This window comes from Homo sapiens, chromosome 1 (assembly GCF_000001405.40).
Source record: "Homo sapiens chromosome 1, GRCh38.p14 Primary Assembly".
NCBI classification, from domain to species: Eukaryota; Metazoa; Chordata; class Mammalia; order Primates; family Hominidae; genus Homo; species Homo sapiens.
This window is the reverse complement of record NC_000001.11, coordinates 242,096,536-242,121,961: the sequence shown is the minus strand read 5'-3', so window position 1 is coordinate 242,121,961 and position 25,426 is coordinate 242,096,536. Positions and strand designations below refer to the sequence as shown.

Genomic DNA, 25,426 nt, shown 5'->3' with positions numbered 1-25,426 from the left:
CTCCCCCCTCCCCCCACCCCATGACAGGCCCTGGTGTGTGATGTTCCCCTCCCTGTGTCCATGTGTTCTCATTGTTCAGTTCCCACCTATGAGTAAGAACATGCGGTGTTTGGTTTTCTGTCCTTGCGATAGTTTGCTGAGAATGATGGTTTCCAGCTTCATCCATGTCCCTACAAAGGATGTGAACTCATCCTTTTTTATGGCTGCATAGTATTCCGTGGTGTATATCTGTCACATTTTCTTAATCCAGTCTATCATTGATGGACATTTGGGTTGGTTCCAAGTCTTTGCTATTGTGAATAGCGCCGCAATAAACATATGTGTGCATGTGTCTTTATAGCAGCATGATTTATAATCCTTTGGGTATATACCCAGCAATGGGACGGCTGGGTCAAATGATATTTCTAGTTTACTTTCTTTTTTTATTTACTTATTTTAACTTCCTGTTTTATTTTCTATTTTTTAATAATATCAAGCCTGCCTTTGAATTTCAATTCAACAGATATTGATTGAACACCATTTCTGGAGAGGTATAAAATCCTACAGGTACAAAAACAGTCAGAAAACCCTGCAACTGGAATTGATATCATTCAGACAGAGTTCCTTGAACTCCCTTCTATTATAACTTTTATAACTATTTATTTATAATCATCTTTCCCACCATTTTATTAGACTCTGAAGATCACCTACTATTAATATATCCTCTTCATCATTGGTATTCCCAATACTTCACTTAGTGCTAGCTAAAAGCAGCAATGAATGTTGGATAGGTTTTATTAGTAGTAATATTAATAGAAAGCTCCAGAATGCATACAGTTTTCTCAGTAATATATGCCAGACAAATGCCAAGATGAATTTAATTCAATATATTTGTTGTATCTTAAAATAGTATATTTTTATAAGCTGATTGTCTCAAGACTAAGTTGAACACATACATAAAGAGTATTTGAAGACCTTAATAACCATTCTCAAAGTTAGATTTTAGATAATTGATAACTTAGCATAGTTAGATATAAATTTTAACTTATGATACAAATATGGATTATTTCCAGTTTTTTCATGGAACACAAATAGGCACTTAGATTTAACTGTGTGATTTCTAGTAACTTGGGCCAGATAATTCTCATTTTCTTGCATTTCCCATTGAAATTGGAGGATGGGAACAATAGTTGGCTGTTTCTGTCTTGTAGGTTTCTTTTTGGAGCCTTTAAGCTTAAGCAATTGCTTTCCAAGATAAAAGACTAGTTCAAGGTCTGTTTTTATTGATCTAGATGTTAGACAGATTTCATTTCTTGTTTATTGTTCAGTTAAGTCACCTGTCAGCCATGTATATGGAGATGTATTTAGTGAGTGAGGGCTGACATTAAATAGAACTTGATGCTGCTATGGAAAAATCCTGCATCACATTCCTCTTTAGAACCTTCTGCGTATATTGTAAATTAGTTTAACAGCCTTACAGAGACGTAATTTACACACCATAAAATTTACCCTTTTAAAGTATACAATTCAGGCTGGGCATGGTGGCTCACTCCTGTAATCCCTGCACTTTGAGAGGCCAAAGCTGGCTGATCACTTGAGGTCAGCAGCTCAAGACCAACCTTGCCAACATGGTGAAACCCCGTCTGTACTAAAAATACAAAAAATAAAAATAAAAAATAAAAAATAAAGCATACAATTTAGTGGGGTTGAGTATAGTCGCAGTTTTGCAACCATTTCTACAATCTGATTTTAGAACTTTTTTTCACCACAAAGAAAAAACCCCATACTGATTAGCCGTCACTATTTTCCCTTCTCTCAGTCCCTGGCAACCAGCAGTCTACTTTTTCTTTATGAATCTGCCTTTTTCTGGATATTTTATATAAATGGAATCATATACTATGTAGTTTTTTGTGATTGCTGCTTTCACCTAACATAATGCCTTCAAGGTTTATCCATATTGTAGCATGGACCAATACTGCCTTTATTCTTTTTATGGTTAAATAATTCCATTGTATGGATATTCCACACTTTGTTTACCCGTCTGTCAACAGATGGGCATTTGTACTACTACTATTTCTTGGCTATTGTAAATAGTGCTGCTATAAATATTCATGTACAGGTTTTTATGTGAATAGCTGTTTTTAATTCGAGTTTATACATAGGAGTGGATTTACTGGATAATGTGGTAACTCTATGTTGGACATTTTGAGAAACTACCAAACTGTTTTCCAAATTGGCAGCACCATTTTACAATCCCACCAGCAATATATGAGAGTTTTTATTTCTCCACATCCTCGGCAACACTTGTTATTTTCTGTCTTATTTTAGCTCTACTAGAGGGTATAAAATGTAATCTTATTTTTGTTTTGATTTAAATCTTCTAACGTGCTTATCGGCCATTTGTATCTCTTCTTTAAAGAAGAGACACAAAATATCTATCAAATATGAAATCTTTTGCCCATTTAAATTAAGTTATTTAAAAAATTTGTGTTGTAAGAGTTCTTTATACAGTCTGTATACAAGTCCCTTAAACAGAAATATGATTTTTTATAGAGACAAGGTCTTACTATGTTATTGGGGCTGGCCTAAAATTCCTGGGTTCAGGTGTCTGGTTTAAATATATGATTTTCCAATATTTTATTTCTTTCATTCCATGGGTTGTCTTTTCATATTTAATTATATTTGAACATATATATTCTACAAATAGAGTATATACTTTTTTAAAACCATGAAACTGTTAATGAAATAATTAAAAACCTGCTAAGGTCTGTACAAGGTGATTATTTAATGAGTATGCAAAATAAATTACATTCATATGGTGCCTACTGATCTAAGAGACAAACCCAGATTAACCTAGAAGTCAGGTCCCTCAAGAGCTCTTGACTGGTAAAAGATTGCCACAGAGCTGGAATATTGAAGAGGATCTGTATTTTCCCTCTTCTTCTACTTTACTATGGAACAAAGAAGTACACAGCACAAGGCTCGGAAAATTAATTCAGAAGTGATGAGAGGGAAACTTAGCCCTCTCTTTAATTAAACAGTTGGAACTAGTTAACTTCCTCTGCCAGCTCATTCTTTTGTGTTATTGTTTATTCATTTCTATTCTGGGCAGACATTTTACAGCCACTAGTCTATCCAGGCACTATTTTTAAAGGTAGAAGACTCTAGAACACATAGCAAAGTACCACTCAGCCCCCAGGTGCAAGGGGACTGATACAAATAATTATGCATTTCCTTCATAAACACATGGAGCTGGAGCACCTGCCATTGTGTCAGGCAGTGGGAACACAGGAAGCAATAAGGCAGGTCAGTGCTTATAAACATCTGTTGACACAGGTTTGGAAATACCCAGATTGAAGCAACAGACTCCAACAGACAAACCTCCAACATTTATGCATTTATGAAGCACTTTCACATTCGTTCCATAAGTATGTATTGAGCATATAATATGTGCATGGCACAAGATGCCAGAGATACACAACCAGGCAGCTCACAAGCAAGTGGCTAAACACATAGACAGATGAATGCAATGCCATGTAACATGCGCTAGAATGAAGTTCCACAAAGAAGGGATCTTGTCTTGGTCACTGATGTATGTCCCCTTCCTAGACCAGAGCCTAGGAATATTTGCTGATTGAATGAAAGCACGCACAGAAGAGGGGCATGGAACCCAGCCAGCAAACAGGCCATTCATTTATTTGAGCTTCAAGGCAAACCAGTATGAAAGGTGTGTTATTTTCATTAACCCCATTAGGAAACAGAGGCTCAAAAAGTGTAAGGGACACACCAAGATGCCCCAGGTTCTAAGTGCTGGAGTCTGGCCTGTATCACCAAAGCCCATGCTCTTTCCTCTAAATTATGGCCACAGTGTCTATACTTGTAAGATAACAGCAAATGTAAAGAGACCACAGATAACTCTGCCTACATTTGTTCCTCCCCAAAACCAAAATCTGGTTTTGGAAAAAGCAGTGAAATTCAGGGAGTTCCTAACTGAAACAAATGTGAGCATTTGGACACATTTCAGAGTCAGGCTTCTGAGAACCCATCTGGAGCAAAGATCTTCAGCTTCTCCACATTAACCAAAGAACCTTTAAAGCAGAGCCAACATGCTAAGGGAATTAAATAATTTGAATATTTTTAATGGCATAGGAAAATGAGTAACATACAATCCCTAAAATCCACTGAACTGTACACTTAAAAATGGTTATGATGGTAAAAAAAGAAAAAAGCAAAAGAAATAAATAGTATGGGAGTACAGGGTTGGGAAAAGCAACCTTTGATTGGAGATTTAAAAACAACTTCATTGCCAGGCGTGGTAGCTCATACCTGTAATCCCAGCACTTTGGGAGGCCGAGGCAGGTGGATCATGAGGTCAGGTGTTCAAGACCAGCCTGGCCAAGATGGTGAAACCCCGTCTCTACTAAAATACAAAAATTAGCCAGGTGTAGTGGCGGGCACCTATAATCCCAGCTACTCAGGAGGCTGAGGCAGGAGAATCACTTGAATCTGGGAGGTGGAGGTTGCAGTGAGCTGAGATTGCACCACTGCAGTCCAGCCTGGGCAACAGAGCAAGACTCCATCTAAAAAAAAAAAAAATTCATGGAGGAGATCACATTTGAGCTGGAATTCAGAGAACAGAATTAGTAGGACTTTGATAGACAAAAATAAAGACACATGAGCCAGAGAAGCCGGCATGAGCAGAGATGCCCAGAGTCAGACATGATGAGGGCACAGCCGTGGACTGGTAATTACTTGCATTTGGGGTCACAGACAGGATGGGAGTTGGCAAATGAAGGAGGCAGAGACACAGGACCATGGATACACCCCTCCCAATTAGTTCAAGCTGGATTCTGAGAAACCAGGAGTCAGTTCATCCTGGGAGTGATGTATATTTGTTTTTAAACATCTCAGAGATAAGGCAATGAGTTAGAAAGATGTTAGAACATCCCTGAAAGCAGCACTAGTGCCCAAGTGAGGGAAACTTACTGAGTGATCAAGAGTAAGAGGAGGGACAGACCCAGGAAACCCTGCAGAGGCACACGCTTTCTATCTTGGTGACAGATGGAGTATCTGTATATCTGTGTGCTGATGACAGAGGAGTGTAGGACTACCTTTAAAAAACAGACTTGAAGTTCATCCTCATTCCAAAAGAAAAAAATAAATGATCAAAAACTCATCCTGTAAAGAAAATATGGTACATATGCACCATGGAATACTATGCAACCATAAACGAGAATAAAATCATGTCTTTTGCAGCAATGTGGGTGCAGCTAGGGGCCATTATTCTAAGGAAATCACTGCAGGAACAGAAAACCAAATACCATGTTCTCACTTATAAGTGGGAGGTAAACATTGGTTACTCATGGACATAGAGATGGCAACACTAAACACTGAGGACCACTAGCGCATGTGGGGAAGGAAGGGGACATGGGTGGATAAACTATTGAGTACTATTCTCACTACCTGGGTGACGGGATCAGTTGTGCCTCAAACCTCAGCATCACATAATATATATCCATGTAACAAACCTGCACCTGTACCCCCTGAGTCTAAAATAAAAGTTGAAATTCTTTTTTAAAAAACCGACTCATCTTGCTCATGATCACCTGCCAAGAGGACTTTCTGTGTGAGGAAACCTGGAAGGTGTGTGATCCTCAGCATGCTCCTTCCTTATCCCTATGCCCCTATGCCCCTTCTAAGGTGGGCGTCCAGTCCAACAGCTCCATCTCACAAACCTCTAAGCTGGGGTGGGGACTCCTACTGTGCAGTGTAGGGAGTTGTTCCAGACATAATTGGTGAGGAGGAACTCTGACCGCCCAATACTACCATTCATTCCAGGCAGTTCCAAAAATCTGTTTATTCAGCCTTTTGGTCCTAAACATCCTGGCATTATTTATGTCCCATTATAATGCCCTGGCATTATTTATGTGATACTTGTCACAGCGTATCGCTTGTCAAAGTAAAACAGCAACTGTGGGAAACACTATTTTCAGTCCTGTCCAGTGGAAAAATAATGAGAAAACCAAACACATCTTTCCCTTTCTACAGCAACTCCATCTACAAACACCATATTTTTATAAGATGAAAACCACCTCAAGCAACAGGAGAAAAATGCCTCAAGCAGAATTTGCCTCTTTTTTTCATTTTGCTTAAATCTTTCAGAACATCCTTCTTCTCTGGCTCTCCTGCTGAATTTCGGCATCTTAATAGCTCCCTCAGATATTCCTTCACTGTTATCGATGACCTTTTCTCAACAATCAACACTTCTCCTAACTCAATGAAAGATTTTGGAGAAAAGAAAAAAACTCCAAGATTTTTTTTTTTTTAGATTTTGAGTTTGAAACATTTTTATGCCCACATCATCACATTTCAGATGAAATGAAAATGCTGGAGTAAATGGCTTGCTATGTGCAGTGTGTGTGCGTGTGTAGTAACACCTGAGAAAATTATTAGCTATGTATGACAGAATTGTGTAAGGTTGGAGGTGGAGTGCTCCTCCGAAAAGAAGTGTGTACACTGAAAGCAAGAATTCTCTCCTAAGTAAAAAGTAAAACAGAAGATACTAGAGGCTGGGGAAAGAGGGGGTGGGGAAAGATTTGTTAGTGGATATAAAAATAACAGCAAGATAGGAAGAATAAGTTCCATTGTTCTATAGCAGTGGTCCTCAACCTTTTTGGCACCATGGACTGGTTTCATGGAAGACAGTTTTTCCATGGACCAGGGTCAGCAGGGATGCTTTCAGGATGATTGAAGGGCATCACATTTATTGTGCACTTTCTTTTTTCTTTTTTTTCTTTTTTCTTTTCAGACAGCATCTTGCTCTGTCACCCAGGCTGGAGTGCAGTGATGCAATCTCGGCTCACTGCAACCTCTGCCTCCCGGGTTCAAGCGATTCTCCTGCCTCAGCCTCCCGAGTAGCTGGGATTACAGGTGCACACCACCACGCCTGGCTAATTTTTTGTATTTTTAGTAGAGACGGGGTTTCACCATGTTGGCCAGGCTGATCTTGAACTCCTGACCTCAGGTGATCCGGCCACCTCAGCCTCCCAAAGCGCTGGGATTACAGGCTTGGGCTACCATCCGTGGCTGTCACTTTATTTCTATTATTATTACATTGTAATATATAATGAAATAACTATACAACTCACTGTATTGTTGAATTAGTGACAGCCCTGAGCTTCTTTTTGTGCAACTAGATGGTCTCATCTGGGGCTGATGGGAGACAGTGACAGATCATCAGGCATTACAATCTCATAAGGCGATCACACAACCTAGATCCCTTACATGCGCAGTTCACAGTAGGGCTCACGCCCCTATGAGAATCTAATGCCCCCACTCGTCTGACAGGAGGCGGAGCTCAGGCGGTGACGCGAGCAAGGGGGAGCGGCTGTAAATACAGATGAAGCTTTGCTTGCCTGTCATTCACCTGCTCTGCAGCCCAGTACTGGTCCCTGGCCTGGGGAATAGGGACCCTTGTTCTATAGGACCGTAGTTAACTATGACTATACTTAACAATAATATATTAGATAGTTTCAAATAGTTAGAAGGAAGATATTGAATGTTTCCAATACAAAGAAATGATAAAGTTTGAGATGATAGATATGCTAATTACCATAATCTCATCACTATACATTATATGAATCACATCACTATGTGCCCCATAAATATATACAATTATGTATCAATTAAATTTTTTAATACATAAAAATTGAAAATCAAAATGTGTCAGATAATAAAAGAATTCTTTCCAAAACAGACTTGAGACCCATCCTACCACACTTTGATCTTTATTCAACTTTGATAAGATTGAAAATATCTTTGTCTAATTTGATGAAGCAGAAATTAGGTTTGCAAAAATATAGTTACAAGCCAAGGTCCGTGGAAACAAAGGAAATAAATAAATCCCCAGCTGCCAAAAATTAGTACGCTAAAAGTTTGGCTTTTGTGTCTTCACAGAATTCTCCAAAACTCTTTTGCCCTAAAAACAGAAGTTTTGACATAGATGCCATCTACAGTGTGATAGATGATGCCAAGCAGTATGTGTACATCGCTGTCATGGACTACCTGCCTATCTCCAGCACAAGCACCAAAAGGTCAGTGAATGCCCAGCCTCTGGTTAGAACCCAGTCCCTAAGACCAGGCACTAAACTGGGCACCACAGGAGAAGCCAGCCTGGAAATGGAGATGCCATCAGGTTGCCTTAGGAAGAGCACACCATTCATTGCTGTTTAACATGCATTGGCAATTTACTCATTACGGAGCTTTTCCCAAAGTGGGTCCATTTTGAAGGCTCATGGTCTCACCCTACAGAAGTACCTCAGTAGTTTACATTATGGAAATGAGAGTAACTTTCAAAAGAAAATTAGGTTGCTCTCAACTTGAAAATTATTTGAAAGGATAAAAGATAAAATATTATATGAAAAAAATTATCATTTGAAAATTATTAACAAGTATATACCTGAAAAGGGCATATTGAAACAGAGTAGTCTTGCCAGACTTTCCTTAAAGGAAGCATTGTTGTTTTATATTCACAGCAGTCTTCATTTAATGCCAAATTCTCATAATATCTTCTCAGTGTAAAGGAGAAAGAGGCCATGTGCGGTGGCTCACGCCTGTAATCCCAGCACTTTGGGAGGCCGAGGCGGGCGGATCACGAGGTCAGGAGATCGAGACCATCCTGGCTAACATGGTGAAACCCCGTCTCCACTAAAAATACAAAAACAAAATTAGCCAGGTGTGGTGGCGGGTGCCTGTAGTCCCAGCTACTCGGGAGGCTGAGGCGGGAGAATGGCATCAACCTGGGAGGCGGAGTTTGCAGTGAGCCAAGATCACGCCACTGCACTCCAGCCTGGGCGACAGAGCAAGAATCCATCTCAAAAAAAAAAAAAAAAAAAAAAAGAGAGAGAGAGAAAGAAACTTCAAATATCTATGTTCTCAGTCAATCCATCCCTCTCTGTGAAAAGAGAACAGTTTAAAAATGCAGTGCTTTTCAATAATTCATCATTGCTTAAGCATGCAAACACGGAATAAATTCAGGGATGGAATTTATGACAAACTCTTTGGGAAATCATTGCATGCATAAATGCGTGGCCATGCTTAGGTATTCCCACTTTTGCTTTCGTGCTGGGAATGCAGAGGTGCTTGAATAATTAGTTTGATCCAGGAAATGTTTTCAAAGTGCATATTTTGGGGAGTGCAACCCCAGGCCTTTTTAATTTGGAATATTACAGTTTCAAAATAAGCATTTACTGAGGCTAAATGATTAAGTGTGCCCTTTATTGCTTGAATAATTCTTACATCACCAACCCTACATAATGCATAGTAGGTAGCTTCTTTACGCAAATAACCATAGGATTACAAAAAGAGTCCTTCCCCCAGAAAATGATCATTTCTTATAACAGCTAGTAGAAAAGCACTTTTAGCTGCAAGATTCATATTATTGAAATACTTTTATTTTAAAATATTGTGCATCTTTACAAAAATTAGCTGGGTGTGGTGGCGCACGCCTGTAATCCCAGCTACTCAGGTGGCTGAGGCAGGAGAATCGCCTGAGCCCAGGAGGTAGAGGTTGCAGTGAGCCAAGATCACACCACTGTACTCCAGCCTGGGCAACAGAGTGAGACTCCATCTATATATATATATACACATATACATACATACACACACACACACACACACACACACACACACACACACACAGTGCATCCTTTGGACATTCATGGATTTTTTTCACCGCACACTTCCACACCTTTTCTATCCCTCCTTTTTATTTTTCCTCCCTTTGTTGTTCACTTGGTTTTAGATTTGGTTTTAGATTTTACCTCTACTTTGGGAACGTTTCAAAACGTAATAGGGGTTTTGCCTGATTTTCCTGTTATTGAGAAGGAGAGTAAGGTCAAGTTCAGGGAGTTATATGTTAGGATGGCATAATGATTTCTCAGGATTGACAAAACCTTTGTTCCATGAAGTTCTATGAACAAAATTGAGATTCTTCCTGGTCAAGAGGTAAATAATTAGCACGGAGGATCTAAAATATTTTAGAAATCTAAAATCTAGAGAAAACAAAATGAATGTTAAAGAATCAGAGACTCACTTGAAATTTTGCATTTTGGTTATAATCTACCATTTCAGCTATTAAATGAAACTTCTTTTATTGTATTTTTAAAATTTTAAACCTGTAAATGCTTTTAACTTTCTAAATTGAAAGGTCATCAAAGAGACATAAGTAGTCGTCCAAGCATCAAGATTATAATTAAATTCTTCTCAATCAGATAAATTAATTACTTGTATAAATTCAGACTGGTTACTCATCTTTATCTAGTCCCAGAAAAGCTTTTCAGGAGTGAATTCAACTTTAATAAATAGGTAAATACTATCAAATTTCAGTATGTTAATGGAATTAATCTTTCAGACTTAACTTTTAGTCTATACATTGCCAAACATCCAGATGAAAGAGAAAAAAAATCATACACTCCCAAATCAGAAATGATTAACAGCGTGTAAAAAAAAACAGACACTATTATTTAGCAATAGTGTTAGAAATAACTTCTAGTTTTCAAGGTAGTAGGAAGGGAATGGAACAATGATCTGTGACTAAATAAATCCTACAGGAAAAATTCAGAAGCCGGCCAGGCACGGTGGCTCACGTCTGTAATCCCAGCACTTTGGGAGGCCGAGGTGGGCCGATCACCTGAGGTCAGGAGTTCAACACCAGCCTGGCCAACATGGTGAAAACCCATCTCTACTAAAAGTACAAAAATTAGCTGGGCATGGTGGCAGACACCTATAATCCCAGCTACTCGGGAGGCTGAGACAGGAGAATCGCTTGAACCTCGACAGCCAAGGTTGCAGTGAGCCAAGATCACGCCATTGCACGCCAGCCTGGGCAACAAGAGTGAAACTCCGTTTAAAAAAAAAAAAAAAAATTCAGAAGCCCTATTTCACTTCTTCCTGATTTAGCAATCAAGCTCTCTTTCTTAAGCAAGTCAATTATTTAGGTCTCAGTTTGGGGTTGTTCATTATTTATTTCTTCAGTCACATAAAATATATCTTTCACAAGGAAATTAGTAAATGTGTAAAGGAATAATAAAAATGTAGCCTGATTAGCCTTTGAAGTGTTAATGCTTTTTATTTATGTATTCATTCAACCATTGGTGTGTGTGTGTGTGTGTGTGAGACAGAGTTTTGCTCTTGTCGCCCAGGCTGAGTGCCATGGCAAGATCTCGGCTCACTGCAACCTCTGCCTCCCAGGTTCAGGTCATTCTCCTGCCTCAGCCTCCTGAGTATCTGGGCCTGCAGGCACATGCCACCACACAGAGCTAATTTTTGTATTTTTAGTAGAGATGGGGTTTCACCATGTTGGCCAGGCTGGTCTCGAACTCCTGACCTTAGGTGATCCACCCACCTCAGCCTCCCAAAGTACTAGGATTACAGGTATGAGCCACCGCGCCTGGCTTCAGTCAACAAATATTTATTGAGCACTGTGTACCAGTGATTAAAGCATGAACAGCATATGATCTCAACCTCCATCTAACAGGACAGGAAGGAGACTATTAGAACACAGAGGTGTGAATGGTACAATGAATGCACCTGAGGCTGAGGCAGGAGAATCACTTGAATGTACCTGAGGTACATTTAATGAGAATTAATGTCATTTAATTCTTATGTTAAAACAAAAAGCTTTCCTGTCTTAAGGACCAAGCCTTAAATCACTCTTCCTCCCCTTGGCCCTGACATTTGTAGACCTTTTGTTCACTCATCAAACTCTTGCCCTAATTCTGGGCCAGTTCAGTATTGGAACTAATGATACACTATTTGAAACTGTAGCCTGCCAGTGTCATGATCATTGCACCTCTAAAGGTCTCTAATGGCCTTTATGATAATATAATAATATAATAATAATAATATATAATATAGTAATATAATATCTATATTATATATAATAATATAATAATATAATGTGATTCTCCTGCCTCAGCCTCAGGTACATTCATTGTACCACTCACACCTCTGTGTTCTAATAGTCTCCTTCCTGTCTTGTTAGATGGAGGTTGAGATGGTATGCTGTTCATGCTTTAATCATGATGAATATCACCTTTAGAGGTGCAATGATCACCGTTCCTGCCTCAGCCTCCTGAGTGCAGAATATTACAGACACTAGGTGAAAGAGCCCCGCGGCACAGCTTCAGGGTTAGAAGAAGCCCATTGGAGGAGATGCTCACTGACTTATAATTCAAAATATTCAGTTTCCCCACAAAAATTTCTTGAAAAAAAATAATGAGGAATTTGTCAGAAAAGGGTGAAAAATTTTCCCAGTGGAAGGGACAGCATGAGCCAAGTTTCACATGTAGAGAAAAAGAGCTCAAGGTAAGGTGGTGAGAGATCTAACTGGAGAGGGGGCAAGGGCCAGGAACCAGAGATCCTGACCACTGGGGGAGTCTTGTGACTTTGTGGAGCTTCCACTTTATGGATTTTTGTGGGGGGTGGCATTTTTTTGTTTTGTTTTGAGATGGAGTCTTGCTCTGTCACCCAGGCTGGAGTGCAGTGGCACAATCTTGGCTCACTGCAACCTCCACCTCCTGGGTTCAAGTGATTCTCCTGCCTCAGCCTCCCGAGTAGCTGGGATTACAGGTGCATGCCACCATGTCCAGCTAATTTTTGTATTTTTATTAGAGACGGGGTTTCACCATGTTGGCCAGGCTGGTCTCAAACTCCCGACCTCAAGTGATCCACCGCCTTGGCCTTCCAAAGTGCTGGAATGACAGGTGTGAGCCACCGTGCCGGCCCCACTGTTTTAATTCAAGAAGTAGCATCACCAGGTCTGCTTTAGATGGATCACTGCGGTGGTCATCGATGAAGTACATGACTGGAGGCAGAGAAACCAATTTTGAGCACAAGGCTGAGATGATCTTTCCTGTAGTCCTCAGCTTCATGGGTATAAAACCAGACAAAGAAAACTGTAGCGTGGATCCAGGATCTAGATTTTTGCCAAGAGCAAGAGGAAGGTACAGAGGCAAGTATCTTTCAAGTGATCAGAACTGAGATGAGGCTGGGCAGGCAAGGGAGACAGGAGGAGCTGATGGACCGGGCAGATTGAAGGCATCATGAATCTGCAGCCTGCATGTGATGAAAAAGCAATTAAGAGAGTGGGGAATAAGGACAGGAGGCCTTTAGAGGTGCAATGATCATGACACTGGCAGGCTACAGTTTCAAATAATGTATCATTAGTTCAAATACTGAATTGGCCCAGAATTAGGGCAAGAGTTTGATGAGTAAACAAAAGGTCTACAAATGTCAGGGCCGAGGGGAGGGAGAGTGATTTAAGGCTTGGTCCTTAAGACAGGAAAGCTTTTTGTTTTAACATAAGAATTAAATGACAGTGCTGGAAGTGACAGTGTGTGTTGGGGGCCGGCAGAGGCAGAGTGGGAGTCTGCCCCACATCATAAGCCAAGTGGCCAGGTCATGGTAGAAAATGCACGCAGAAATCCAGGAGAAGCTGTGGCCTCAGGGAAGAAATCAGGATCAAGTTAAGGCAAAGGCTTAAGGATTCAGAGAAAAGGCCAAGCCTGTTGGGGAAACTTTGCCTGTTGGAAGATTCCAAAGACCCTGCAGAAAACGTGGAAGGCAGGGGAGACATGGGAGGCTTGGTAAGGAGACACCACGGTAAGACAGTCGGGAAAAGGAAGTGTGGGGAAGCTCAGATGACCAGAGCGTAAGTTCATTTCGGGGACAATCACCAAAGAGAGGTTTTAGTGGCATTTGGGGACTGAGGGGGTGCTCAGGGTTCCTAACTGGAATTCGATTGGATAATCAGTTCTTAGTGGACTGAGGCCCAGGTAGCGTCAGAGATGTAGTAAGGGTGGCCTGTGGAGGCAGTCAGCCTGTCCTCACCCCAGCCCACACAGCCCAAGGACCTGGTGGTAGGAAACCTCCTTTTAGGCAGGGGCAGGTCCCAGCAAATCATCATTTCTTGGTGCCTAAGCTAAGATGCTTGTATGTTTTTCAGCCTCTCCGATGAGGTTGCTTATATATATTACAGGATAAAGTAATGATCTGAGTAATATCAATGTTCTATGCTGTCTAGTAAATTTCTTTTCCCAAACTAACTTAGTTTATTTTTTCTATTTGGATATGATTTCTGCAGGACTTACTGGCCAGACTTGGATGCAAAAATAAGAGAAGCATTAGTTTTACGAAGCGTTAGAGTTCGACTCCTTTTAAGCTTCTGGAAGGAAACTGATCCCCTTACGTTTAACTTTATTTCATCTCTTAAAGCGATTTGCACTGAAATAGCCAACTGCAGTTTGAAAGTTGTAAGTATTACGTTGACTGTGTTATTAAATAAAAAGTGAATGCCCTCTGCATGTGTGTGAAAGCTGCAAGCATACGCCTATGTGTAAAGTTCCAGTAAGAACCAGGACGGCAATCTTCAAAAAGCACGTTAAGTAATTTTTTCAAAACAATCACATACGAAAAAAAGAGTAGAGCTCATGTTTCCTGATGCCTCCTCCGTCCAGCCCTCTTCTCACTTTCTGTTGCATCCTTTCCATTTTCTTTTTTCTTTTTTTTCTTGAGATAGGGTTTTGCTCTGTCACCCAGGCTGGAGTGCAGTAGCACAATCCCGGCTCACTGCAGCCTTGACTCCCAGGCTCAGCTAATTTTGCATTTTTTGTAGAGATGGGGCTTCACCATGTTGCCCAGGCTGGTCCTGAGCTCCTGGGCTCAAGCAATCTGCCCACCTTGGCCTTCCAAAGTGCTGGGACTACCAACATGAGCCACCGCACCCGGCCCTCTCCATCTTCCTTGAACGACCCCATTCACCTACTGCTCCTATTTCTAAGACTGTGACCAACAGAGCACTGGAGCATGCAGCAGCACACAGACCCCCCGCCCAGATGCCTCGTCGTCTGGGTCCCCATGCTTGCCCCAGGTCCCTTGGGCCACGTACTAATCCCCCTCTGGAGACCTTGAGGGAGGTAAGATTGGGAATTAGCAATACCTGAAATGTGTTAATTCTCTAGGTCATGTTTGACTCTACTCCAGTCCTCGTCGCCCTCTTCCTCCACCCCAGACTTGGTGCAAGCTATTCCCTCTGCCTACAACACTCTTCTTCTCCATGTTTACCCACCTCATAACCACTGATCCTTTAGGCCTCAGCTTTTCTCAACCCCCATGCAGCCATTCAACAGAATCTGGCCTGTGGCAGGCTCTCTTCTAGGTAACGAAGCTGCATTCCTTGCAGCATTTAGGGACCCAGGGTATCAAGGGCTCCGCAATTAACTTTGACACATGGCTTCCAAGATCGCCCTGACCCTGAATATCCCAAGGCCAGACAGGAGAAGAGCGAAATTGGAGGGCTGTGTGAGAGGCATTTTGGATTGGGACTGGAGGTAGGGAACATCCCTTTAGCCTTCATTCCACTGCCTGGATAGCTTTCACATGGCCATGCCTAATGGCCAGGGAGGCTTATGACCATGGTCAGAAAGTCAGCTGTGTTTCCAGGGTGACAAAGGAACAGGTTTGTGAATCATCATGGTCTGAAGTTCCTGGTACACGGGATCCATTTCACTCATCTTGCCTCATAGAGAACCCTCATTCTCACCTCCCACAAGGGAGAAAATGCAAAGTTTCATGCAGTCACTGCACAGAGTCTTCCAGTGATGTGCATTTCTGGACATCAAGCCTGAAAGCGGTACATCATAGTTTGTCAATGTAAAAACTAAAATAAAACCGTAACAATTCCCCACCACACACCAAAAAATACCTAACATCAGGTTAATGTTACCTCCCTCCCTGAGTACAGAAACAGGATACGCACAAGGAAAACTGCCATTAGAAAGGGAAGGCTTGGAGGCCCATGGCAGTTCCTGGTCCACAGCAATTATAAAACTCTTCTGGGCAGGTACTGTGAAGTCCTCATACTCCTGCTGGTTCAAACCAAGGACCCAAGGTTGTTTTAAGGCATGAACAGTTAAAGGAGTTTGGGGTCCTAGCATGAGCTGGTTGGTTTCTTGGGCAATGCAAGTTTCTCAGAAATGTAATAGGTTCTGATGTACTTGTTTCTAGTTATTTCCATGTATCCATAGCCATGTCCAGAGTTTCTTGTTGTACATAATTCCCTAACTTGATGAATTATGCTTTCTAGTTCATAGACTTCTCTCTCTCTAATGATAGAGTTTATGCAAAACCATCAGACACAGGTGGGAAGATTACACCTATTATTATTACACCAATTATTTCATCTTTTCTACAGGGCTCAGTCTTAACTGGCCACTTAAAGGATTTTTCATACTTATTTTCTATTATTGAGCTTTAGGTACAATCAGCTTTTTCAACCCTGTGAAATACCAAATTTCTGGGTGATCTGTTCTCTATATCATTTATATCATTTATAAACTAGCCCTTCCTTCCCTGAGCCTATTTATCTCCTCTAATAAGCTTTTTAAAAGCACAACTAACAGGCCAGGCACAGTGGCTCACGCCTATAATCCCAGCACTTTGGGAGGCCAAGGCAGGTGAATCACTTGAGGCCAGGAGTTCAAGACCAGTCTGGACAACATGGTGAAACCCCATCTCTAGTAAAAATACAAAAATTAGCTGGGCGTGGTGGTGCACACCTGTAATCCTAGCTACTTGGGAGGCTGAGGCACAAGCATTACCTGAACCTGGGAGGCAGAGGTTGCAGTGAGCCGAGATTGCACCACTGCATTCCAGCCCGGGAGACAGAGCAAGACCCTGTCTCTGAAGGAAAAAAAAAAAAACCAACACACAGTACAAACAATTCATTTCCCCAGTCCCTATAGCCGAAGCCCTATAAGCCAAAGGTTCAGTGGTACTTGGTATTCCTTCCAAATAAATGCTGGCTATGTTTTTACCAAATAGTTTGTCACTGTATAACATGAGTTTTCATCTCTCCACCCTACAATACCAATTTACTTGCTGCCTGCTGTCCATTGAGTAAACCAATGCTACATCGTTTATTAAGTTTTTGTTGTGTTGCTGTTATGACAGAACCACTTCACATTGCCTGAACTTAGTAAGTACTTAATACTTTTTAAATAAGTGAAGGAATGTGTTAGATTCATGAATATTCATGAGTATATACAGTTATCCAGGCACTGAATTAAATGCCTTCTATAGATTATATAATATTCATAACCACACAGCCAGACATGTGGCTTATGCCTGTAGTCCCAGTGTTTTGGGAGTCCAAGGCAGGAAGTTCATCTGAGGCCACAAGTTCAAGACCTGCCTGGGCAAAGTAGGGAGACCCCCATCTCTACAAAAAAACTTAAGAGATAATAATATTTACAATTACCCAGTGAAACAGGTACTTTCCCTATTTTATAGACATGGGAACTGAAGCATACATTAAATAACCTCTCTCAAGGACACTAGTGAGTAATGGGGCAAGACTCAAACCCAAGTCTTTTGAACTCCAGAACCTGAGCTCTTAAACATGTCTCCATGGCGTCTGCATGTAGAAGAGATCCTTGCAGTTACAAAGTCCTTTTTAATCTTTCTTATCTATATTAAGAAACATCACATACACCAAGGTGCAGTGGCTCACACTTGTAATCCCAACACTTTGGGAGGCCAAGACAAGTGGATCACTTGAGGCCAAGAGTTCAAGACCAGCCTGGACAACATGGCAAGACCCTATTTCTACAAAAAAAAAAAAAAAAAGCAAAAACTAGCCAGGTGTGGTGGTGCATATCTGTAGTCCTAGGGACTCAGGACTCAGGAGGTAGAGGCAAGAGGATCACTTTAGCCTAGGAGTTCAAGGCTGCAGTGACCTATGATTGCCACTGCACTCCAGCCTGGGGACAGAACAAGACTGTCTCGAAGCAAAAACAAAAACATCATATACTGCATCTGCTCAAAGATATGAGAAGCTACACATCCGAATTATATCCCTGAGGATCAAAAAAAGAATCAGATAAAATGTTTGTAACTCATTCATGCCATTAAGATATTTTAAATTTTATTTTTCATGAAATTATTAACAATTTAAATACATAAAAATTTAGAATTTACTGTAAATTTCCAAAAACAATGCTTCTCACCTGTGTTTTCATCTTAATCTCCCGAATAGTCTGGTAACATTGATGGATAATAGAAATTCTGATCTCTACTTAACTGGTTTTTGTAAACTGAGGAAATCATGCACATATCTGTGTAGTCACAAATCAGTGTAAGTATTGGAAATAAAAACATGACTGTGATTACTACCACAGATCTGTTTTCCAGGCCAGATTTTCAAATAAATGAAACAACCAGGAGTTGGATCAGGGCACCAACCTGGGTTTGGAGTCAGGTGCCCAGTATCAGAGGAGAAGCAGGTGCAGTCCTAGGAAGTCAGAGACACAGGAGAATGGAGTCTAATTGTGTTCAATACCTTTTCACAGACAAGAGAACTCTTGGGATTGATTCAGCTCCGAAACAGCATTTTCCAGATAATTACAGTGGCATACGGAGCTCCAGCAAAAAGGAAGTGAGAAAAAGAACAGGTGTCTAGTTCACCAATGGCTCACATGACGCTTGGTGGAGTTTTCAAAACATACATGTTGAATGAGTGCATGCATGAACAAATGAAGTCAAAGAAGGGAGCTAATAAAGGCAGAGTAATAAGAAAGATTCTGCAAGCCAGTGAGGGGACAGGGCAGAACCCAGGACAGTGCCTGAGTCCAAGGTGTGGTTAGCCATTTTCTGCAGGTGTGCGCTGGGGAAGGGTGACCATGGGTGAAGAGGCTGCCCAGTGAAGTCATGCACTCTGGAGGTCAGTACACTCGCACTCAGAGGAGCCCCTGTTATTCGTGAGGTCTAGCAGGAACAGAGAGGACAGTCTGGGACTTTTGGTATACCATATGGTACATTTGCTCCAATCTCCTTTTCCAAATTCTCCTCTGGCCAAGTCACGGGTCCATGTCCACCCACTGTTTCTTGACCCCCACAGCACACCTGCCACTAGGGCACCTGCAGTCAAAACTTCTAGGGCGTGAAATGTCAACTGCTCTCATTTAAGAATTACAAAAAATTACAAGGAAAGTAGCATCCATCATTGCAACCTTTACAGTACTTAATCAGCTTCATCTTTTTGATGTTTTTGATCATAGATGGTCACTTTTTTTTTAATAAACTAAACATTAGTAGTTCACATATAGCCATTTTATAAAACAGAGGCCATACACTTCTAAGCATCAATACAAGCCTAGATGGGCAAGAAGCTTATGGCCCTAATGTCTAGAACACAGATGGGTGATAAACTCTTACAAGAAAAGTGAGGATTGGAATCTTGCATAGAGCATGTCTCCAGGAGCCTGGGAGCACTGACAAAGCACATGGCCTGGGAACTAGGTAGGGAATCTCTGTCCTTAAAGGAGTGGGCACCCCCACCTCCAACCACCTCCAGCCCTGATGTGGGCTTATCTCCATGAGGGACTCATGAAAAGAGAAAAGACTGTGAAGCACAGAATTCTCCCAGTCAGCTGATTTTTTAGTTTTTTTTAACAAATTAATAAACCCCTTTTGAAATGTCTTTGCTGTCACCCACAGTGTATTAGGTGTCGAATAATACCAGTGAATAAAACCTCATTTCTGCTGTCATTTTAGTCTTCCAGAGAAAGCTGTTTCCCCTCTTAAGGGCCGTCTTTGACTTTCTAGAGCAAATGGGTTTTTACTAAAGCCTCAAGCTGTGACTCTATCCTTGACTTAACTCAAGATGTATATTTTATTCTTTTTGAAATCCATCTTGATTCTACAATAATATCTTTCCCAAAAGGAAACAGTCACACGTGTGGCCACGTGTTGTGATATTATGTCCAAGCGAGGTGACTTCTGGCTGTTATTGATGGTGATGCCCTCAACATTCATGTGACCTCATGAACATAAAACTGTGACTTAAGAACATTCACAGGTTATTAAGTCAGTCTGAAGAGTCCAGAAACCAATGCAGATTTTACAGAAGACAGGAACTGAGGACACTGGGTGAACCAGGTATCATTGTCTATAACCGTGGTGATAGGGCCCTGAGAGCCACACAGATAATGTGTTTACCTGTGTTGTGGAATAGACAGTTTTTAAGTAGTAGATTTTGATCTCTGCTCTGTGGACCTCAAGGGTTTTACAAAAAATCAAAATAGAACTTTTGTGGCTAGAAGGGATCTTACTGATCATCTAGTTTATCACCGTTCTACCACGCTAGGGGAGGGGGAAGTCCAACTCTCATTATTTCCTCAAACCAAATGTGAACACTTACAGTTTTAAAACTGTAAATGACATCTCCTTTTCTAGGTATCATGCCATTTTCCTCCCTGCCTCTTCTTTCCTTTAAATACACGATTCTATAGCTGTAAGACATTCCACAAGGTTCCACGCAGTTCTGAAAATACTCAACATTTTCCCATATAGGGGATACCTGATATTTTCACCTTTGACTAGTGTCTTCCAGTGAGCTGAGTCATGGAGTTCCATGAGCTTAGCCACAGTTTAAGCCTCATCTGAAAATTTAGCCAATTTCACAGACCCCTAAGGCATGGCCTGGCCATTCCTGCAGTCATCCCCCTTCTTTCAGCTGCCCCATTCCTGGCCTTGGGTGAACTGGAATGTCACCTTTTGAGTCAATAAAAGTTGAAATTCAGAATTCACGGTTTGAAGTTGTGATTTTTTTTTTTTGAGTTGTCTATCAAAAGAGCTCCTAGACTTAGGTGTTCAGACAGAAAAGTATTTGTTCCTATGTTCCTATGGCAAAGTCTCTTTTGACCTTGGCAAATCCCCAGTTTAATCAGCTAGTCATTGACATAATGTATGCAACATGTAAGAATACTCATTCGGTTCATTGCCATGCTTGGCAGAAAGCACCCTGAGGCATGCTTCAAAGCTGGCACCCCGATGAATAAGACAATGAGAATTAAACAACCTTCTGGCCCTTATCCTGCTGAAAAAAGAAAACGAATTTTGTGTTCATTTTGTAGCTTAAAAGTGTTAATTATATACCTAGTTGAGCACGCTAATTTTCTCTTGTTGCCTATTTAGATTTGAGAACAAAAATAGCTTCATCTATATGAGGTAATAAGATTATGGCTTTCATAACCCAACTTGAGGTCTATTGTTGACATTTGGATAATGCATTCTTTTGTGCTCTTGGACAAGACCAGAAACGTTCCTCTTATTTACCTGCCCCCTTTTTTTTTTTCTTACAGAAATTTTTTGATCTGGAAAGAGAGAATGCTTGTGCTACAAAAGAACAAAAGAATCACACCTTTCCTAGGTTAAATCGCAACAAGTACATGGTGACAGATGGAGCAGCTTATATTGGTAGGTGTCAGGGCTGTGAAGCTCCTTGGGTGGGGGTCACCCAGGGAGTGGTAGTCCAGCTGTGCTCCACGGTATCCCCTGGTGAGGAAGCAAGGCCTTGGGAACCACTGCTGGTGAATGAGGGGAAATGGAGATGAGGAAACAGGACGGTAAGGACAGGGAGCTCATCATTCAAATATCTCTTCCATGGCCTGATTTATGTACTAGAAGACATAGAAGATGCCTTTCCATAAATGTTTTCCAGAAATTTTCTGGTCCATTTGCCTCATTGTACAGGCAAGGATGAGAATGGCTCATCAAAGGTGAGTCCTGGCACAGGAAAGAGCAGTGTCATCCCCCTGCCCACAGCACCACAAGCCAGCCTGACATGAGTGATGGGAAGGCAGGCAGTGGAGTGGTTCAGTGCCGAAACTCCCAATTCCCAGCCAATTATCCCATCCCTGCTATCTTCCAAATGTCCCACTCTGTACAATTTAACTTGAGCTCTTCAAACCTCAGTTTTCTCATCTGTAAGATGGGGTTAATAATAGTAACTACTTCATTGGGTGAAGTGTAGAAGAGACAAAATGTGCAAAGTACCTAGCACATAGATAATACCCAATTAATGCTAGCTATTTTTATTATTAAGGTTAAACAGAGACCCAAGGGCTGGAATCATTCTACACTGGTGTAATTATTAATACATCAAACCTATTCTAGTTTTCCATGATATATATGAGTCCATGATAACCTTTTAACTAGTACCATCACAGGCAGTTAAAACGATCTATCAGAAGGTACATAAATCCAAAAACAGCAGTGTAGTGATTACATTGTACAGATGAAGCAGCAGTCTTAAGGCAGAAAGAAACATGTTCATGGAATATAGAAATAGAAAATCTGTATCAATTTCTTTTTTTCAAATTCAGTGAGTAAAAAATGTACCCTTTTAACTTTGTAAAGCACTTGATTCATTTCTCTTCGCAACATCACCAATAGGGAGGGCAGCTTTTATCATCTGCAGTTTAGAAATGAGGAAACTTGGACCCTAAGACTTGGAGAAATACAGATGTTAGGGGGAAGGAGCCGGGTCTGGCATCCAGGGCCCCCAGTCATCTCACCCACTGCCTCCCGCCCCTGCAGACACTGCCACTGGCCGTGTGGGTAGTCACTAACTCCCAGACTCAGTGTAAACGTATTCTTTTTCCATTTTCAATATCACATTAGAAGAGAGTATTGGAATATTTTAAAGATATATATCTGGCTGGGTGCAGTGGTTCACACGGTAATCCCAGCCACTTTGGGAGGCTGAGGCAGGTGGATCACCTGAGGTCAGGAGTTCAAGACCAGCTTGGCCAACATGGTGAAAACCTGTCGTTACTAAAAAATACCAAAAAAATTTGCTGGACATGGTGGTGGGTGTCTGTAATCCCAGCTACATGGGAGGCCAAGGCAGGGAGAATTGCTTGAATCTGGAATGCAGAGGTTGCAGTGAGCCGAGATCATGCCACTGCACTCCAGCCAGGGTGACAAGGTGGGACTCCTCCTCAAAAAAAATAAAAATAAAAAACTAAATAGGCCAAAAAAATGTCCCTGTCTGACAGCTTTGAAGAGAGTGGTGGTTCTCCCAGCACACAGACTGAGATCTGAGAATGGACAGACTGCCTCCTCAAGTGGGTCCCTGACCCCCAAGTAGCCTAACTGGGAGGCACCCCCCAGTAGGGGCAGACTGACACCTCACACGGTGGGGTACTCCTCTGAGACAAAACTTCCAGAGGAACGATCAGGCAGCAACCTTTGCTGTTCACCAATATCTGCTGTTCTGCAGCCTCCACTGCTGATACCCAGGCAAACAGGGTCTGGAGTGGACCTCCAGCAAACTCCAACAGACTTGCAGCTCAGGGTCCTGACTGGCAGAAGGAAAACTAACAAACAGAAAGGACATCCACACCAAAACCCCATCTGTACGTCACCATCATCAAAGACCAAACGTAGATAAAACCATGAAGATGGGGAAAAAACAGAGCAGAAAAACTGAAAATTCTAAAAATCAGAGCACCTCTCCTCCTCCAAAGGAACGCAGCTCCTCACCAGCAATGGAACAAAGCTGGATGGAGAATGACTTTGACGAGTTGAGAGAAGAAGGCTTCAGACGATCAAACTACTCCAAGCTAAAGTAGGAAGTTCGAACCCATGGCAAAGGAGTTAAAAACCTTGAAAAAAGATTAGATGAATGGCTAACTACAATAACCGATGCAGAGAAGTCCTTAAAGGATCTGATGGAGCTGAAAACCACGGCATGAGAACTACGTGACGAATGCACAAGCCTCAGTAGCCGATTCGATCAACTGGAAGAAGGGTATCAGTGATGGAAGATCAGATGAATGAAATGAAGCGAGAAGAGAAGTTTAGAGAAAAAAGAATAAAAAGAAACGAACAAAGCCTCCAAGAAATACAGGACTATGTGAAAAGACCAAATCTACGTCTGATTGGTGTACCTGAAAGTGACGGGGAGAATGGAACCAAGTTGGAAAACACTCTGCAGGATATTATCCAGGAGAACTTCCCCAATCTAGCAAGGCAGGCCAACATTCAAATTCAGGAAATACAGAGAATGCCACAAAGATACTCCTTGAGAAGAGGATCTTTGACAAACCTGACAAAAACAAGAAATGGGGAAAGGATTCCCTATTTAATAAATGGTGCTGGGAAAACTGGCTAGCCATATGTAGAAAGCTGAAACTGGATCCCTTCCTTACACCTTATACAAAAATCAATTCAAGATGGATTAAAGATTTAAATGTTAGACCTAAAACCACAAAAACCCTAGAAGAAAACCTAGGCAATACCATTCAGGACATAGGCATGGGCAAGGACTTCATGTCTAAAACACCAAAAGCAATGGCAACAAATGCCAAAATTGACAAATGGGATCTAATTTAACTAAAGAGCTTCTGCACAGCAAAAGAAACTACCATCAGAGTGAATAGGCAACCTACAGAATGGGAGAAAATTTTTGCAATCTACTCATCTGACAAAGGGCTAATATCCAGAATCTACAAAGAACTCAAACAAATTTACGAGAAAAAAACAACCCCATCAACAAGTGGGCAAAGGATATGAACAGACACTTCTCAAAAGAAGACGTTTATGCAGCCAAAAGACACATGAAAAAATGCTCATCCTCACTGGCCATCAGAGAAATGCAAATCAAAACCACAATGAGATACCATCTCACCCCAGTTAGAATGGCAATCATTAAAAAGTCAGGAAACAACAGGTGCTGGAGAGGATGTGGAGAAATAGGAACACTTTTACACTGTTGGTGGGACTGTAAACTAGTTCAACCATTGTGGAACTCAGTGTGGCGATTCCTCAAGGATCTAGAACTAGAAATACCATTTGACCCAGCCATCCTATTACTGGGTATATACCCAAAGGATTATAAATCATGCTTCTATAAAGACACATGCACACGTATGTTTATTGTGGCACTATTCACAATAGCAAAGACTTGGAACCAACCCAAATGTCCAACAATGATAGACTGGATTAAGAAAATGTGGCACATATACACCGTGGAATGCTATGCAGCCATAAAAAATGATGAGTTCATGTCCTTTGTAGGGACATGGATGAAGCTGGAAACCATCATTCTCAGCAAACTATCACAAGGACAAAAAACCAAACACCGCATGTTCTCACTCATAGGTGGGAATTGAAAAATGAGAACACACAGACACAGGAAGGGGAACATCACACACCGGGGGCTGTTGTGGGGAGGGGGAGGGGGAAGGAGGAGGGATAGCGTTAGGAGATATACCTAATGTTAAATGATGAGTTAATGGGTGCAGCACACCAACATGGCACATGTATACATATGTAACAAACCTGCACGTTGTGCACATGTACCCTAAAACTTAAAATATAATAAAAATAAAAATAAAAAATAAAAGTCCAGACAGTAAAATATTTTCAGTTTAGCAGACTAAAAAAAAAAAAAAACAAAAAAGACTTAAAACAAACAAACAACCAAAAAACTAAATAGGCTGGGTATGGTGGCTCACCCTTGTAATCCCAGCACTTTGGGAGGTTGAGGCAGGTGGATCACCTGAGGCCAGGAGTTCAAGACCAGCCTGGGCAACATGGTGAA

The 25,426-nt window shown here is 41.3% G+C and overlaps 1 protein-coding gene across 14 annotated transcripts in view; it reads left to right on the top strand.

Moving 5' to 3' along the window:
• PLD5 (phospholipase D family member 5) overlaps positions 1–25,426 on the top strand; it is a 447,561-nt gene that overhangs the window by 408,585 nt on the left and 13,550 nt on the right. For all 14 annotated transcript variants that reach the window (XM_011544115.3, XM_011544116.3, NM_001320272.2 and 11 more), the window contains 3 exons: positions 7,936–8,072; positions 14,123–14,291; positions 21,180–21,294. In XM_011544115.3, the coding sequence (XP_011542417.1) occupies positions 7,936–8,072; positions 14,123–14,291; positions 21,180–21,294 (421 nt within the window). The remainder of the gene's footprint in view (positions 1–7,935; positions 8,073–14,122; positions 14,292–21,179; positions 21,295–25,426) is intronic.